Here is a 17560-nt window from a genome sequence, read left to right as displayed (position 1 = left end):
CTTGTTTAAATCTAATAGTAGGAAAAACCTATATTGAGGGTTTTGCAGCTAAATTATGCCAGAAACTAAGAAAACCAAAAGAAAGATAAGTTGACAGTTTGTAGACAACTTTATAACCCTAATCCCTTCTTATTGGTAAGAAGTAATCTACCATACAATGATTCAATAATGGACCCTTGGATAAATATTACCAGTGCTTCCCAACTGGTGATTTCTAACACACAAAGTATCACACAAGGAACTGTCTCTTGTGCCCCTCCAGGATATATTTTTATCTGTGGAGGATTTAATGATCAACCATATGTGTGGGCAACTCCTTGTCTCAAGTGGAAAATAAGGGACCAATGTGGATTAGAGATTCTAACAGTACCACTGTCACTTCATAAGCAACTGGAAACTGAACATTGTTCTGTATCTCTTAATTTGTGCCATGGATTAACGAGAAATTGTGCTTGCTTTGGCAGCACATATACTAAAATTGGAATGATACAGAGGAGGTTAGAATGGCCTCTGTGCAAGGATGACACGGAAATTCATGAAGCGTTCCATATTTAAAAACAAAAATAATAAAGAGGAACTTTCCGGCAGGCTTAAATCACTCTAAATGGGCATCTTTTGTAGAATGGTTCTTCTTTGGCTTGGCATAAATGTATATAGAGTTATTATTAGAAATCTGTCTCAAATATTAGCTACTATAGCTGACTCTATTGCAAAGGCTATCGTTGCCCAGAATCCTTTATAAATTCTCTTGCTAACATTGTTTTAGACTGTTTTGGACTACTCGATGAACATGGGAATATGTATGCAGTGGCTAACATCTCATGCTGCCCTTTCATAAATATGTCTGATACGGTAGAAACTCAGTTTTAAAAAGTAAACAAACAAGTTACTTGGTTAAAACAAGTAGATTCCTCTTCTGGCTCATTTTTTTGATTCATTTTATTATAATTGTTTTGGTTCATGGTGGCCTCTGTTAAGGAATACACTTCACTCTCTTAGTATTATCCTCCTGATAACCATCACAATAGTCTCCCTGGTGTTCTATATTCTCTCAAGTGTCTTAAATGCTCATATACAGCCATCTGTTGTACATCAAATGGTCTCACTACTGTTAAAACAACAAAAACACAAAGAGAACATAAGGAATCATTCAACTAGCCTGATGCCATGAATTATGTATTTCATACCAAGACCAAAAAAGTCCATGACGATGGTGACAGAGTGGCATCAATGCCCAATTTTGAGAGACTGACTAATAGGGAGAAATTGTTAAATTAACTTAAATTTGGCCTGAAGCTGCCTCCATACCTTGCATTCCTGTGCAGCAAACCTCACCCTAACGTAGTATGTAAACAAACCAATACACAGAAGAAATAGCTGAGTTTCAGCCAATCACAGGCAGCCAAATCATCACACCATGCCCAAATAAGGCAAATGCCTAGCTATAGCTAATCAAATGATTTCTCTGGTTTGCTTTTGTGTCCATCCTATAAAAGCTCATTGCTCAGGTTGCTGGGCAGAAAGAGCTCTCCGAACTCCTTCTAGTTCTGAAGTTTGCCCAATTCAAGAAATTTTTTTTGTGTGTGCTCAAATAAACTTTGGTAAATTTAATTTATTTAAAGTTTTTATTTTAACAGTTATAATACTAAAATTTGGAGACATTTGTGCATTAAAATAGCATTCCTTTCAGGAATTTATCCCCAAACTGCAATGCTGCTTTTCACATCCTATTGTCATTTTTAAACTGTGTTAAAGAAATATTAAATTCTATACATTTTATATCAACTTCTTTATTTTTTGTGAATGAGCATAATTATGTTTTCTGGGTTACCTTGCCATATGGATGCATGCTCTCTGAGTGACATTTATTGTTGGTCTGACAATCACCTGCTTACAATCTTTCAAGTGGAAGGAGAGATGCAGAACAACAGAGGTGGGTAAAAGTTTTATGTCTGTTTCCTGCATTGATATTAAGTGCCTGATTTCCTGTAATTAAATAAATATATATTTAGACTATTGAAGGAAAAACCAGAAAAGGGCCTTCAATAACAGGCCTCAAAGTGAAATGTCCAAAGGAAATAGCCAAACTCCCCATTGCCTTCTGGGTAGAACTTTAAAAAGAAGAAAGATATCTGTTTTTAGCATTAAGCAAGGGCTATGTGAAATCAACAGGAAGAGAGAACACTGAAAGATTAAATTAATCCAAGATCTGTGTCTTGTGCTTCTTAAGTTATTCTTCCTATTTCCATTTTACATGTTTATCCTCAAGAAAAACTATTTGTTTTGCATTTACTGTGTTCTTTAATAAACACAGCCAGATGCAATCACTCACATCTGTAATCCCAGTAATTCAGGTGGCTGAGGTAGGATGATCACTTAATGCCAGGAGCTTGAAACCAGCCTGGGCAACATAGCAAGATCCCATCTCTAAAAAACAATTTTAAAATTAGCCCAGCCTGGTGTCATGCCTATATTCTCAGCTGCTTGCGAGCGTGGAGTGGGAAGAGCATTTGAGTCCAGGAGATTGAGGCTGCAGTGAGCTATGATTGCACCACTGCACTCCAGCCTGGTGACAGAATGAAACCCCAATCTCAAAAAACACAAAAAATAAACAAAAACCTCTGATTTTTTCTAAGGATTTAATTATGATAGACAAGTCACTCAAAGATTTAGACACAACAAATTATGATTTGACACAACAAAGAAATACAGTTTTTAGTCTGATTTTAACTCAGCAATATGAAAAGCATTACTTTCTTTCTCTAAGCTGTCTTTAAAGTAAAAAGCTAATGTTTTTGATGAAATGTAATGCGTTGGTCTAAGAAATTCTTATTACAATATCTGTAAGTATATTCTGTTTTCTTAACTTTGTCCTTGAGAAATATTTAATAGTGACTTTTATTGCTAAAATAACTTTCATGAAAAATGTATTGACTTTAACTGACCCAAAATTAATATTGCCCTAAGTCTATACAGCTATCAAAAAATGTTTTCCTTCACTAAGATTATCCCTTGAAGGTTGCAATAAAAGACTTGATGTTAACTTCTAAGGTTTTGAAAATCTGTAACCCAAACTGTAACATTTGATGGATTAATAGTATCTCCTCCTTTCACCATCCCAGTTAGCCAATGACAGATTGCCTTTGAAATGTCGAGGCTTTAAAGAAATGAAGAACAACCCAAATTCAGTGTTCTTAACCCCACCTTTGATCGTTATTATCAAATTTTAAATCCTAAAAGGATTTGATTTTAAAAATTAATCCTTGTATTAACATTGGCAATCAAAGCACTTACAACCTTAAAAGACAAAAGAAGAGCATTCTCAGAAGCCTGAATTTAAAACAAAAACAAAAACAAAAAAACCCCTGCAATGTTTAAGGCTAAAAGGAACTTCAAAAATTATTCTGTCCTGCTTTTTATTTTAAAATGAAAAAGCTTCCGTTATTAATTCGCTGGACTGACAACTTAAAATGCTCTTCCTTCACACCCTACCATATCTCCATTAAATAAGCATTCTTCCAGTGGACCTCAAATATTATGCATCAAAATCTTCCAAGTTGCTTGTTTAAAATGCATATCCCTATTATCATCAACTATCATTATCATTATCATCAATAACTCTGACTCAGTAAATGCAGATTGGGTGCAGTGGCTCATGCCCGTAATCCCAGCACTTTCGGAGGCCAAGGCAGGCAGATCACTTGAGGTCAGGAGTTCGAGACCAGCCTGGCCAACATGATGAAACCCCGTCTCTACTAAAAACACAAAAATTAGCCAGGCGTGGTGGCACATGCCTGTAATCCCAGCTACTCGGGAGGCTGAAGTAGGAGGATCACTTGAACCTAGGAGGCAGAGGTTACAGTGAGCCAAGATCCCATCACTGCCCTCAAGACTGGGCAATAGAGCAAGACTCCATCGCAAAATAAAACAAAATAAAATAATGAAAAAGCTTCCCTTATTAATTCACTGGATTGACATTTTAAATGCTGTTCTTCATAGCCTACCATATCTCCATTAAATAAGCATCCTTCCAGTGGACCTCAAATTTTATACATCAGAATCTTCCAAGTTGCTTGTTTAAAATGCATATCCCTAGACATTAGCAACAATAACTCCAACTCAGTAAATCCACATAGACCCAAGGAATCTGTATTTTCAACAAGCATCCTTCGTGACTCTAGGACAGGTGGTCCATGGAACAAACTTTGAGGCATGATGCTAGGCAATAATATAAACAGGCCATGTACTTAATATTTAGCCTGTCAGTGGAAACATTTTGTCTAAAATTTGAACAACTCCAAAGGCAAAAGATGTACTTGAGAAAGGCAGGGCTGAATAAGAGTCATTTTACAATAACATGTTTTTGAAACTCTGTTTCATTACTTAGGAGAATACCAATAAATGGAGGTAAAGGCAGTGAGGGAGGAGATCCTTTGTCATTATATTGTACAACCCAAGGACATTTTCCTAGAATTTTGGAAGTGCACTTTAAGAGACTGCATAAAACGTGGGGGAAATGTCAAGCCACATTATGCTCTTAAAAGCAAAACAAGAAAAAAACCAGCTTCTAAATAGGTACTGAAGAATGCCATGCAGTATTATGATTTTCATTTCTAATAATATAAATGAACATCTTGAGTTTAGTTAGTATTTTTTTCAAATTCTTTTAGAGATAGTGTTCTTTTTGCTGAGGTAAATGTAGATGAATAAGAAATGGCAGAACTTATTCTTAGGTGATATGAAATAATGTGAAATAATGCTTTTATCTATAAAGCACAGGGTTTTTTAAAAAAAAACCATTTGAAATAAATTAGTGTGATTCTATTTTTAAACACTTGTATTTATATAAATTCATATGACAGCTAAAGCCTTACCCCAAATGTCATAAACTCTACTGGGTTTGCAGATTGCTTTCTATTAGTGCATTAGTGCATTTCTTTTCAATGAAACTAGTCTTGCTTTTCAATTGTTAGATTTAACAATTTTAGGTAAAAATCAGTGGTCTTATTTTTTATTGTTTTTCATTAAAAGGTCAAAATATTTCATAGTTTAAGAAAGAAAGTAAATGGAACAAACCAAATGACTTTAATTTTGATACTTATAAAAATCACAAATGGATCAGTTTAGGTATATAAAAACATTAGACACTCGTATTATTTACAGCCTTCCCCAACTGGACAAAATCTAGACCCATAGAATTGACACAGGATAAATTCAGGGAGGCCTACCTACTCCTAGATGGAGCTGCCCAGGAAAATCAGAGGGCCCCGATGGGACCCACCACTCTGAAAACAATGCTTAGTTCCTTCAATCAGCAGCAATCCCAGCAATGCAAACCACTGAAGACAGTCCTGAGGTGTGGACAGCCCCAATGTGTGGATGCCTGATTTGAGTTCACAGTAGGAAGGATGATCACCAATCAATGTCACAATGGTCAAATTCCAGGGGTGTTCCTCATCTATAAATAACCAATTCTGGGGGGTGGTGGTCCCAAACAGGCTTCAGGACTATAAGCAGTTGTTCTGAAGCACAGAAAAGGATTTGTTTCTAATACTAGACACAACACACCCAATATGAAGTTCTACAAGGACCCTCTGAGAACTAGTAAGCCTGGTGGCTGCACGTCATTGCCAAATTTACTTCTAATAGTCTATTGACACGCACTAGAGATTCAAGATTGCAAAACTCAACCCGCTTACTTGGTTTGTTTAAATACTTTTGCATAAAAAAGAAACATATGAGGAAATTTCAAATGTTCCGTTTTATAGTACAATCAGTTCGGAAAGTACTTGCCTCAAAGTTACTAGCAGGCCTATTAGTGGTTAAGAATTTGCGGCCGGGCACGGTGGCTCACGCCTGTCATCCCAGCACTTTGGGAGGCTGACGTGGGCGGATCACAAGGTCAGGAGATGGAGAACATCCTGGCCAACATGGAGAAACCCCATCTTTACTAAAAATACAAAAATTAGCTGGGCGTGGTGGCACGCGCCAGTAGTCACAGCTACCCGGGAGGCTGAGGCAGGAGAATTGCTTGAACCTGGGAGGCAGAGGTTGCAGTGAGCTGAGATTGTGCCATTCATTGCACTCCAGCCTGGCAATGAGGTGAGACTCTGTCTCAAAAAAAAAAAAAAAAAAAAAAAGAATTTGCATATTTCTTCCTTTTGGCATGAATCCTCATACTAAAGGCTGCACGACAAAATCTCAGAGGTAAAAACTAGCTTTACTTCTAGAAAACAGCCGGAGGGAGGAAAGGGGGGTGAGTAACAGTGAAATAACGAACAATTATAATAACTTTCATTATTGAAAATCTACTAGGAGAAAAGCTCTGATAGTCACTTTTTCAACATTCATTATTTCAAATCCCTATAAAAACAAAATATATGTTATACTCTCTTAAGAAAAACGGGTCAGAGAAATGAAATAATTTGCTGAAGGAAATGGACAAAGATTTGAATAGGAGATGCCAAAGTCTACACACTTCCCACTATTTAAAACCTTATCTAGTCTTCCATTGAGAGAAAATAATCATATCATCACATTAAAATTTGCATTTGTGTACAAATAGTTTATGTGAATATGTATATGTATTATAGAAATAGAGATGGATAAAGACACTGAAAATAATTGAGAATAAGCCAAGAAAAGGAGCATCTATCCCAATACCCCTGGTCCTAGTTCTGCCCTGGATTTAACAGTCAGAAAATCACTCCACTTTCTGGGGTCCTGTTTCTTCATCTGTAAAATGGAATTAATAAGCAAGAATTTACTTCTCCTCAAAAAAGGATAGGGGCATGTTAAAAAGACACAGGAGCCAATCTGAAGGAACCCCATTAGCCAAAGTTGGAACAATTTGAGCAACAAAATAAACAGTGACGGTACTGGGTGTAACCCATATAATATTTTAAAATCCATGAGTTCATACTAATATAAATAAATAACTGAAAAAATACATGGATGGAGGAGAAGCAGCAGCTCTTCCTTACAGTGGAATACCAATTAGTAAATACAGAAAGAATGAGAGAAATATATAATCACAATTAGGTAAAGAATAGAGAGTAAGAATCGCCACAGGCAACTTCACTGAAAGAGACTAAAATTAATGAGTGAAGATTTGAAAAGAAACAGGCTATTATTAATAGAAAACTCTCAAACTATCTTACCCAGGATATTTATCAATTTCAAAGGGAAAAAATAGTAACTTTACAGTGAAAAACCCCACAAGACAGAACCTTAACCAAGTGATCAAAGTTAACATCATCAGTAATAAGATACAGCTGGTACCCCTTAATATGATGTACTGAGAAGAATACAATACTACTATTGTAGTAGTCTTGCCAAGAATATGTAACCTCAATCTAATCGTGATAAAACATTAGACAAACCCAAACTGAGAGACATTCTACAAAATAGCTTGCCAGTTACCCATCAAAAGTGTCAAATTCATAAAAAACAAGGCAGGAAAGGGAAATTGTCACAGATTAGAGGAGACTAAAGAAATAGAACTAAATGCAATGTAGAATCCTGGATTGGATCCTAGAATAGACCAAAGGCATAAAGGGGAAAACTAGTAAAATATTAATTTTCCTAGTTTTGATAATTATACTATGATTATATAAGTTGTTAAAATTAGGGAATGTATTTAACTGCAAACATATTACAATTAAAGGTGAAGTACTGGGTTCCTAAATCACATCCCATGCTTTTCTACCTCTGAGCCTTTTATCACATCATTCCATTTAGCTGAAATGTCCTTGCTCTATTCTTCTTGGCCTAATCTTTCCCGTACTGCGAACTCAAATAGAATGCTAGCCCCTTCATGGTTCCCATGGTCAGAAGTCATTTCTCTCTCCTATTACCCCCACAGCACTTTAACCATACCCTTCCCATAACACATACCACACTCCCCCTTGTATTTTAGCAACTGATATAAATGACTCATTAATCCTACCTGAAAATTCATTAAATATTATCATATTATCTCTGTTATGCCACACAATGACTATAATTGTATCTGACACAGATCTGGGGCTCAGTAATGGCTTTTGGAAAGTCCCTTGATTACAATTGCCATTGTGAACTTCAAGTTCATAAGGCATCAATAAATAATCCAGATTGCCAACGTATTCATACACAATGAGAGCTAAAACTGCCAAGGCAATAGGGAACTCATCTCAGGTTAGCCAGCATATTTTTTCCTATTAGAGGAGACATATATGGAAAGCTAAATTAGGATCAGAAGGTTGCCTGGGAAGCAAGGAGAACAAGTTGTGCAATTTTCGTGAATAAGAGCAACAGGCTAAATGGCTTGATCATAAAACTACACTCACTACAGGGCCAGACTCTCTTGTTCTCAGCTCTGGGCCTCATCTTTGCTTAGTGCTCCACCAATAATGACAAATTTTTCCTTTATGACTATTTGTCTATTTCCACACTAACTATTCTCTCCTTTTGAATTTTTAAAATTATTTATTTTGCCATTCTCAGCCCTGGCTGCATTTTAGAATCACCTGGAGAACTCTCAAAACCCTGATGCCTGGGCCATTTCCGAGGATCAATTAAATCAGACTTTCCAGAGGTGGGCCTCAGGCCTCAGGATTTTTGATAGCTCTTCAGGTGATTCTAAGATGCAGCCAATGTTGAGAACTAGTACTACATTGATAAAATTTTTATTTACCTATGTTAATGTCACCAAGCAGAAAATAGAGAAGTCCAACATTTCCTGCCTTTTTCCCTATCATATGTTCTCTCCACCACAACCACTACCACCACCCTCTCCTGAAGATATGTGATCTCACCCATTCTCTAGTGTGTCTACTAATTTAATGCCTAGGTTTCTGGAGATGCCTTGTCTTCACCCAAATGGAAGACTTTCAGGCAGTATCTCACAGGTCTCCAGTGCAGCACATTGTTAGGTATATCAGCACAGTAAGGTAGGACAAAATACTTTTAACATATACAACAGGTAGAAGGATTCAATATTTTATCATTACCATTAGTGTTTGACAGAAATCAGGTGGGAGGCAGCTGGAACCAAGAGGTAAAGAATACATCAAAAAATATCTTGAGTGCTAACTTCTTTGTGGTTCACTATGTGGGTCCACGATGTGATAGAAAAATGAATCAGAAAAAGATCAATCCCACATGCTGAGAATCTGACATGGCTCATATGATGTAAACTGTGCTTTGTACCATGAGAGATAAAGATTCTGTGAGAGTTGAGGGGATTGGGATTGGGGTGGGGAGTGATTTCTAGCCACGAGTTTATGAGAGGCTTTGTTTATGGGAAAGGAACCTTGTTTATTGGAAACTTTGATTATGAGAGAGGAGGTGGCATTTAAGCTGGGCCTGGGAGTCAGGGTAAGATTTGAAGATGTGGGACTAGGAGGAAGGGCATTCTCAGAGGATATGGCCTAAGCAAAGATGAAAAGGTGTGAAACTGTGGAGGATGGGCAGTAGTTCCATTTCCTTCCTACATGGAGGAAAATAGAAGACACCAATATTTGAAATATTCTGCCATTCTGGTAGTTTTGGAACTATTCCCCATCAAAGATTTGGTTAAATCTTGACCAGAAATTATGAGAGTTCAGTTGTCTGCTGTTTTACACTCATAATCTGATGTATGTGTCCAAAGGGTTAGGTAGTAGATGCAGAAGCCTCACTAATGCATTTATATATTTCAGTCTTGAAAGGCCCCAAATTAAATTACAGAAGAGGGAACCTGGAGATAAAGAGATAAGCCATTTCAATGGTAGTGATAGCATTTTTCTATGAGGTGCAATTTTGGTCACCTGCCATTTCCTATACTATTATTTTACCTTAATAAAAAGGATAACACCAGCCCTGTGCCAGTTAAGAGTAAATTTGGGTCTGATGATGAGAAATATCTCTGTTAACAAGAACGGAGCAATCTGTGCAAGTCACTCCTCAGGAGTCCAGGGAAGTGGCAACCTGCCAGCTCAGTGGCACACAGAGCCCAGGCGGCCCCACAGCTGTCTCTCAGCACTGCCAGCAGCCATCACCATGGCAACAGCCCCTCCCGGGAGAGCAGCTCAGCCCACTGAAACCACCCATCATTTAAAAATCAACACAGATGATTCCGGATGAGATCCTCTGCAACAACAACAAAAATCTTATAGAACTGTCCCTTCTAAGAATGTAATTCAGACAATATAGACTGTGAATTAGATGGGTGATTCTCGAAATTCAGTATGCTTTGGGCTCATTTGGCAGGCTTGTCAAAACACAGATTGCCAGAACCCCACCCCCAGAATTTCTGATTCAATGCAGCTGGCTGGGGTAGAGGCAAAGAATTTGTATTTCTAGCAAGTTCCCAAGTGATGCTGATGATACTGGTCTGGGGTCACACTTTGAGAACCACTGGGTTTCATACTAGCATTGTATCACTGTTGATTTCCTGATTTTGATTACTGTACTATGGTTACATAAAAGAATGTCCTTGGTCTTAGAAAATACTCACAGCTGTATTATATTTAGGACAAAGGAGCATCATGTCTGAAACTTATTCTCAAATGGTTCATTAAAAAATGTAGGTAGAAAGATAAAGCAAATGTGGAAAAATAACAATTTGGGAATCTGGATAAAGGGCATATGGAAGTTCATTGTGTTACTCTTGTAACATTTCTGGTAGTTTAAAATTACATTAAAATTATAAATTTTTTCAATTAATACAGGGAAAGAAAGTTATAGCAACATATACTATGTATGTCTAATACGGTAGCGAGGAGCCACATATGGTTATTTAAATTTAAACTAACTAAATTTAAATAAAATTTAACATCCAGGCCCTCAACTGCACTATCCGCACAGCAAGTGCTAAAGAGCCATGTATATGACTAGCGACTACTATATTAGACAGCACAACTATAGCCCATTTCCATCAGCACAGAAAGTTCTGTGAAATAGTGCTGACTACAGTTTAAAATATTCTAAGACATGGAAAGAGTCTTTGAAAAAGTCAATGTCCTAAAAGCAGCAATAGAGGTAGCAGTAATAGTTATAAGCAGTATGAGTCAGTTGTTTCTAAAATAACACAGTTTATTAACTGAAGGAGGCTAAAGAAGAAATATGAACAAATTATAGCAGGTGGATCATAGTATGCAACATATGCATATGCAAGTATCTGTAGTTTTGCACGAATTGGTGACATATTTGCCAGAGTAAATATTCAATATCACTGATCACACCTGACATCATCTTACTGATTTTCTCAGCAATCCACTGGATGATGGACAACCAGATATCCAAATGACCTGGTTCTTCTCCACTCACCCTCCACCCTGTCCACTTTCCTCCAAGCAAAGCAGGGTCAAGACATAGATGGGAAAATACCCAGCAAGGCTGAGGCTGACCTGAAGGGGAATGGCCAAGACATGGAATATTTCAAACTTGTTCAGATATTTTAACTTGGCTATTGGTTTCATTTTGGGTGATACATCAGCTAATGTGTAAAGCAGGCAAGGTTGTTCTCGCTGCTATCCCTTTTCCTTCTGAGCTTCTTTTCTTTCTCCTGTCTCTTCTTTTCTCTCTCTCAAACAAATGGCACCTTCAAGTTAGGTCGAGTTGTCCAAAGTTTCTGGCCCAAACAGAACTGCCGTCTACTCTAAAGAGCATCTTTTTTCCCTCATGTCTTTTGGGCTCCAGCAACATCCAAGTGATAAGCTGACTTCATCCTAAAGTATGAACAGTACCAAATTCTCCCAAGGTGCATTTGGCTAACCCTAGCTTCCATAATATTCTGGGAGATACTTTTTGAGCGTAGTCATCTTTGGGTATTCTCTACCTGACCCAAGCCCTGTCAATCCTCTCTCCATAATGTCTCAGGAGTAAACACACAGATTCACACTGCAGCTACACATTGTCCACTTTCCCCTCTCCCACTTCTCTAAGCAGCTTCACACTCCCTTGGGGCTCAGTAAAATACACAGCTATTACTTGGATAGAACTCAGAGTGGTTGGAAAAACTGTAAATACTTCAAGCTGTAAACCACAAATTGATAAATATGAGGAATTCTTGTGGGGAAAAAAGCCATATTTCCATTTCCAAACTTCCACTGAAGAAATTAAACCATAGAGCTGGAATCCAAAACTCAGGACATATACCTCTACTCTAACCAAGCATCTGTTAGAGCATTTAAATGTCCGTCTAAGCATCAGACCATTCTAGAAGGTTTGCCCTTCCCCCTATCAAAAAATTGTTGATGCATTCTTCTGCAGTAATTTCTCCTTTTTGTTTTTTGTTTTTCTTAGAGATAGGGTCTCACTCTATCGCCCAGGCTGGAGAGCGATGGCATGGTCCCAGTTCACTGAAGCCTTGAACTGCTAGGCTCAAGCAATCCTCCTGCCTCAGTCTCTTCGCTAGCTGGAACTACAGGCTCATACAACCACGCCCGGCTAATTTTTTTAATTTTCTGTAGAGATGGAGGTCTTACTATGTTTCCTAGTCTGGTCTCGAACTCCTGGATTAGCAATCCTCTCACTTCAACCTCCCAAAGTGCTGGGATTACAAGTATGAGCCACCACACCTGGCCTCCACCTTAAAATATATTCTTTTTTACTGAGTTTGCCAATGGAGGGAAAAACCCTTCCTTAGAAACAAGTTTTGTCAATTATCTACAGATAATCATTCTTAGCTGCAAGACATGGGATCCCAGGTCTTTACAGTTCAATTTATGGTGTGATAATTGGACTTTTAAGATCTCTTTACAGAAGGCTTTTTACCATTCAGCAAGTTTTTATAAAGACTTCCAAGAGAAAAGGAGAGTCTCACCTCACAGTACTCCGTGATAATGCAGAAATTATCTTGCTCCACAAAACTTGCATGGAACTTGACAATGGCTGGGTGGTCCAGCTTGGAGAGGAGTTGGGCTTCCAAATTGGCCTGTACAGTTTCATTTGGATTTAGTTCTCCAACAGATATTTCCTTAAGTACCTTTCTGAGATCAAAAAAAATTTTAAAAACATTTAGAGCTGAAAAACACATTTAACAAATATCATCAAGTGGTACAGAGCCATTAATTAATGCCCAGGTTGTGACCTACTCATATATCTGGTATTGCCTATTATGACACTGTGTCTCCTGGTGGGACCTGGGCCTGTTTTCCTGTCCTGCTTCCCCAAGGCCTCTGACCTCCTCATCTGTGTATCCTACAGTTCTATAAGGGCAGCCATGGAACTAATCTTGAGCAATATTGCTGGGGTGGCCCTTCCTCCACCTCTCTAGATGTTTCAGTGTCTCTTGGTTTCTCTTATAGTTATCTATTTCTGTCTGTCTCTTTCTATGTGTGTTCATACACACACACACACACACACACACACAAACACACACACACATATATATATGTAATCCATCACTCTGTCTCCCTGTATCTTATTCTTTCTTTGCCTATCTTTCCTTCTGTGTCTCTGCCTCTTTCTGTGTCTCTCTTTGCCTCTGTGTATGTATTTACATGTATTTACACACACTCACAGGCATGCTTCTCTCTCTCAGCTTAAAATTTTCCAAATATATCGACTTAATATCAATAGGAGCAATATTTATTTATTTTCTTTTTAAAACTATCCTTGGCATATCATACTTCATTACTACCAGTATTTAACAGGAAAAATTAACTAAAAACATTAATAGAGATATTTAGTATTTCTAACATGTATAAATGAAAGAAGAGCTCATTAAATCCCCAAGTCATTAATTTAAAAATTGTGATAACTCTTTGGGAATAGACCAAAACATTATCTCTTCCCATCTAAGAAAAAAAAGAGTCTGATAAACAAATCAATTATAGTACCAAAGTGTGAACTAGACTATAGGAAAAAATACTTTAGAACACCAATTATGTTTGCAGACACAGTCTGATGATTATAAGCAAGCATTGGCAGTTCATTAGGGCAAGTGCTGCAGGACCTGTACTAGAAAACATTTTACAAAAATCTTCTTTAGGAGTTGCTACTTATGCATATCAATAAAAATGTATTATAGTAGAAAATTTCTTTAGGCCCTTTAACCAATGCATAGATTAACCATCATTCTCCAGTCCTTCCTAACAGATGCTGACAGATGCCCTTGCCACAGGGAATGCCTCCAGCTAATAAGCTCTCCTTGGCATGCCCATGAACTTCTGCCCTCCCAGTTGAGATGTATGCTTACCAAGTCATTGTGTTTATTCCCAAGCCTGCTAATGCCAGTTATGCTCATCATTGTAAATTTATGACTTCAATATAACTTAAATGAAGAGTGAGCGTGAAAGTTATCTCTGCTAGGAAAACTAAGTCAAATGATTACCAAAAAACTTGAAAATAAAAAGTTGCAAAAATAAACAGCTGTCAAGTAACTGAAAAGACAGTTCTAAAAAGGTTAAAAATGTGAAAATCTAGTATTCTGAATTCAGATTGTTACAGAAAATAAATCTAGAAAACTAGGTCCTAAAAAATAATATAAAAATAATATATATTTTATGGATGTAGTTTATGCAAAAAAAAAAAAAAGATGAAGGAGTCTCTAACCAGAGGACATTGGATGCTGGCTATACAGCCAAAAACTGGAGAAAATGTACAGTTATATATTTTAAGTTGATGTAAATGTTTTAATTAATGTCATTTTATTTTAAAATTGTTTCCTTTTTTTAACCAAGTACCAGCTTCAATCACATTGGAGAGAAGAGCTTCTACCATTTTTAAAAATGTGATTATGCTATTAACTTCTCAGTAATTCAAACAAGCCTCTCCCTCTGTTTTACAATGGAAGAACCGTAATATCCTCAGGCATTACCAGAGGTAGAGCTTTCTTCTTGTTTCATATTCAGGGTCTAGAAGTTTTGATATTGCAGTCAGCACACTATTGTATAGTATTCCCCCATCCCATTTCTCAGTGAGAGACTACAATTAAAAAAACAAAACAAAACAAAATTAAAAACTCGTTACAATTCTAAGTTAGGAAATCTGTCCTAGAAGCTGAGAGCCTAAGTAGGAAAATGTAGAAAGTGCCCTTATCCTATTCCGGGGTTGGGTAACGTTTGACCTTTTTTTTCCCAGAGCAATAAAAGCTGGGTTAAGTTTCCATTCTCCAAAAATCTCATAAGGAAAACCTTCTAATCCAAGATGACCATTACTGGGAAGTCACTTCCCCTGAAATTTGAGTCCTTTAATATTTTATTCACTTTAAATATTCTCCATGGTCTTCCCATTCTGAACTCATCTCATTCCCAAAAGACAACCAACAGCAGGCATAAGCTGCTTCCACAAAGAGGAGGCCAATTTGCATTAGAAAGGGCAGCTCTGCCTCAGGAACCTCACAGGCAAGGACTCAACTATGCCATTAACAGGTGTCTTTAAATGTGACTGCAATACAGAAAGTTGGAACACTTGTCTTCCTTCCCCTAACGTGTTTTCACATTGGTTTTAAACAGCCTATTAGGCTCCTATTTAATAAGAAGTAGATTCTAGAGAAATGCCTGCTTGGTAACACTCTGAAGAAAGGCTGTTCTATCAAGAATTTGGTTTAAAATGACCTAATGTTATTAGGAGTGGCATTTCAGACTGTTAGTATACCCAAAGAAGCTAGAAATGACATACAAGACACTTTTTTTAACTACTGAAGATTACAAAGCAGCAGGCGAAGCACAAAGACATCTTCATAGAGCTTTTCAGTAATTTACTGTACCCCAGCTAGCATGCAGTTATAAAAGTCACAGTGGTTAAGCATGACAATATAAAGTCTTACCAACTTGCAATATTCTCTTGCTGTGAAGGAATAAATGCTCTAAAAAGCTTCAGGATACTTATTTTTCCTTGCAAACACCAACTATTGTGCAGCAGAGCATGAGCAATTTTACATATAAAATGTAAATACCTGAGCCCCGTCTGGCACCTTGATGATAAAGCATAAAATCTCATTTGTCCACAGTTTAGCAGATGAAGGTAGGGCTATTAAGACAGGTGATATCTATTATAATCTCTCTAGCTGATGCGGAGACGTTCACCTTCCTTACCTAAAATCACGTCACTGAGCTGACAGAGGAAACTCTCATTGCATATCACTTAATACGAGATCTGTATCAGCCAAAGACAGCATGGAAACTTACCAAGTCAAGGGACAGTTTGTCACTTGCTCAGTGATTCCAGCCTGTCACCCCTCCTAAATAACATGACAGACATTTATTTTATCAGAGCCTCAACTCAGGAGAAATTTCAAGACAGTAGCAAAACGAGGCATCCCCGGAGACTTCCCAAGTTACATGCTTTCTTTCTTTCTAGCATCAGTGAACTGACAAACTTTGAGAATAACTTTGGAAATTCGGGATAACTATGGCTAATTTCATTCCCTTGAAATTGGCCTACCTTTTGCAGAAATGGGGAAGATGATATCTTTGAGATATTAATTAAGGGTTACTTTTCTCCAAATTTTCACATATCTTTTCACATTTTCCCCATTCAACCAGCAGCATACACTGCTTCAGGTAAAAGGTGAAATCACTACAGAAATATGAGTCAAACACATGTCTTTTGAGTTTTTAAAGAAAAGACCAAGACTAAAGAGAAAGGATCTGGAGGAACATATGAACAGTGAACACAGTGAACATGTATGGTTGTGTTTTTCAAAGCTTCAAATTGCAATGAATGCTATAAAGTTGAGGTAAGGATGTCTGAGGCCTTTCTGATTTCAGAGCTGTGACCCTGATGTGATTAGCAGCTACTGTACCCACTTAGCCTAAGCCACAGGAAATTTTAATTTCAACTTAGACAAACGAGTAACTTTTTGGCTTTGGATTTTGCTTTTGTGTTTTTTTATTTATCATTTGCCTGTTTTACAAAGAGAGATTATGAAATATAATCAGGGGTTTTAAGATTTTTCATCCCTCTAGGAAGGCAGGAATTATTTTTATCTGCCTTTCTTAAATGGGAAGGTCTCTTTTTTCTAATTTACAAGGAAATAGTTTCATTATAGAAAAATTTAAAAACACAACATAAGGAAAATATTACCCACAATCCAACACAGAAATTATCAGAATTAACATTTCTGTGTATTTCCTTACAATCTTTTTGCTACATGTATTTCTTAATAGTAGAGGCCAAACAGCTTACACAATTTGCTTACTGCTGTTTTCATGAGACATTATTGTAGCAGACACTTGTCATTTGTGGCTGCCCACTTTAGACAGCTTCCTTACACTGTGGCAGATCCCTGGGCTGTGAGTCTTGCCTCCCATGGAGAGATAAAAACAGACAAACCAACCCTATGACTCCCAGCCTCTCTTGAGCTTGGGTGCTGATGTGTGACCTAGGTTCTGTCAGTCAGCTGCATCCACCCGACACTTTGATGTGAGTGTGAGCTGCATCAAGAAACAAGGTGGCACGGCGTCTCCATTTTGCAAATATATGTGTCATCAGAAACAGCATGGCCCTGAGCTCAAGGGCACTAGGTCACTTCACTGGTGATGTTCTGCCCTCTAGCCTGCTCCCCCAGCCCTCCCACCACTGCTATGAACTATCTGTGTTCTGTAACAAATCCTTTTCTGCTTAAACTGGCAAAGGGTGGCTGCTCTTA

General features: G+C 37.5%; 1 protein-coding gene and 1 pseudogene across 56 annotated transcripts in view, besides 1 other annotated feature; one reads left to right on the top strand and one right to left on the bottom strand.

Annotated features, from left to right (window-relative positions):
- NEK11 (NIMA related kinase 11) overlaps positions 1-17560 on the bottom strand; it is a 323589-nt gene that overhangs the window by 257090 nt on the left and 48939 nt on the right. For 45 of the 56 annotated variants that reach the window (XR_001740271.2, NM_001353038.2, NM_001353022.2 and 42 more), the window contains one exon: positions 12788-12953. The exons of 3 other annotated variants lie outside the window; for them this stretch is intronic. Coding sequence is in view for 42 of the 53 variants with exons in the window: in NM_001353022.2 (NP_001339951.1) it covers positions 12788-12953 (166 nt within the window). In the remaining 11 variants the exon portion in view is untranslated. Of the gene's footprint in view, positions 1-890; positions 1109-1831; positions 1987-12787; positions 12954-14785; positions 14893-17560 lie in introns of those variants that run through there. 8 more of the 56 variants (NM_001353033.2, NM_001353040.2, NM_001353048.2 and 5 more) reach the window with 4 other exon arrangements.
- RNU6-726P (RNA, U6 small nuclear 726, pseudogene) lies at positions 449-555 on the top strand (annotated as a pseudogene).
- Positions 14989-15565: an enhancer, noted in NCBI's record as "OCT4-NANOG hESC enhancer chr3:130796655-130797231 (GRCh37/hg19 assembly coordinates)". NCBI's record gives its function as "activates a minimal SCP1, AML or CMV promoter by ChIP-STARR-seq in naive H9 embryonic stem cells {active_cell/tissue: H9 hESC(naive)}" and the evidence as "EXISTENCE:reporter gene assay evidence [ECO:0000049][PMID:30033119]".

This window comes from Homo sapiens, chromosome 3 (assembly GCF_000001405.40).
Source record: "Homo sapiens chromosome 3, GRCh38.p14 Primary Assembly".
NCBI classification, from domain to species: Eukaryota; Metazoa; Chordata; class Mammalia; order Primates; family Hominidae; genus Homo; species Homo sapiens.
Note: the sequence above shows the minus strand (reverse complement) of the source record. Positions and strands in the feature narration are given on the sequence as shown.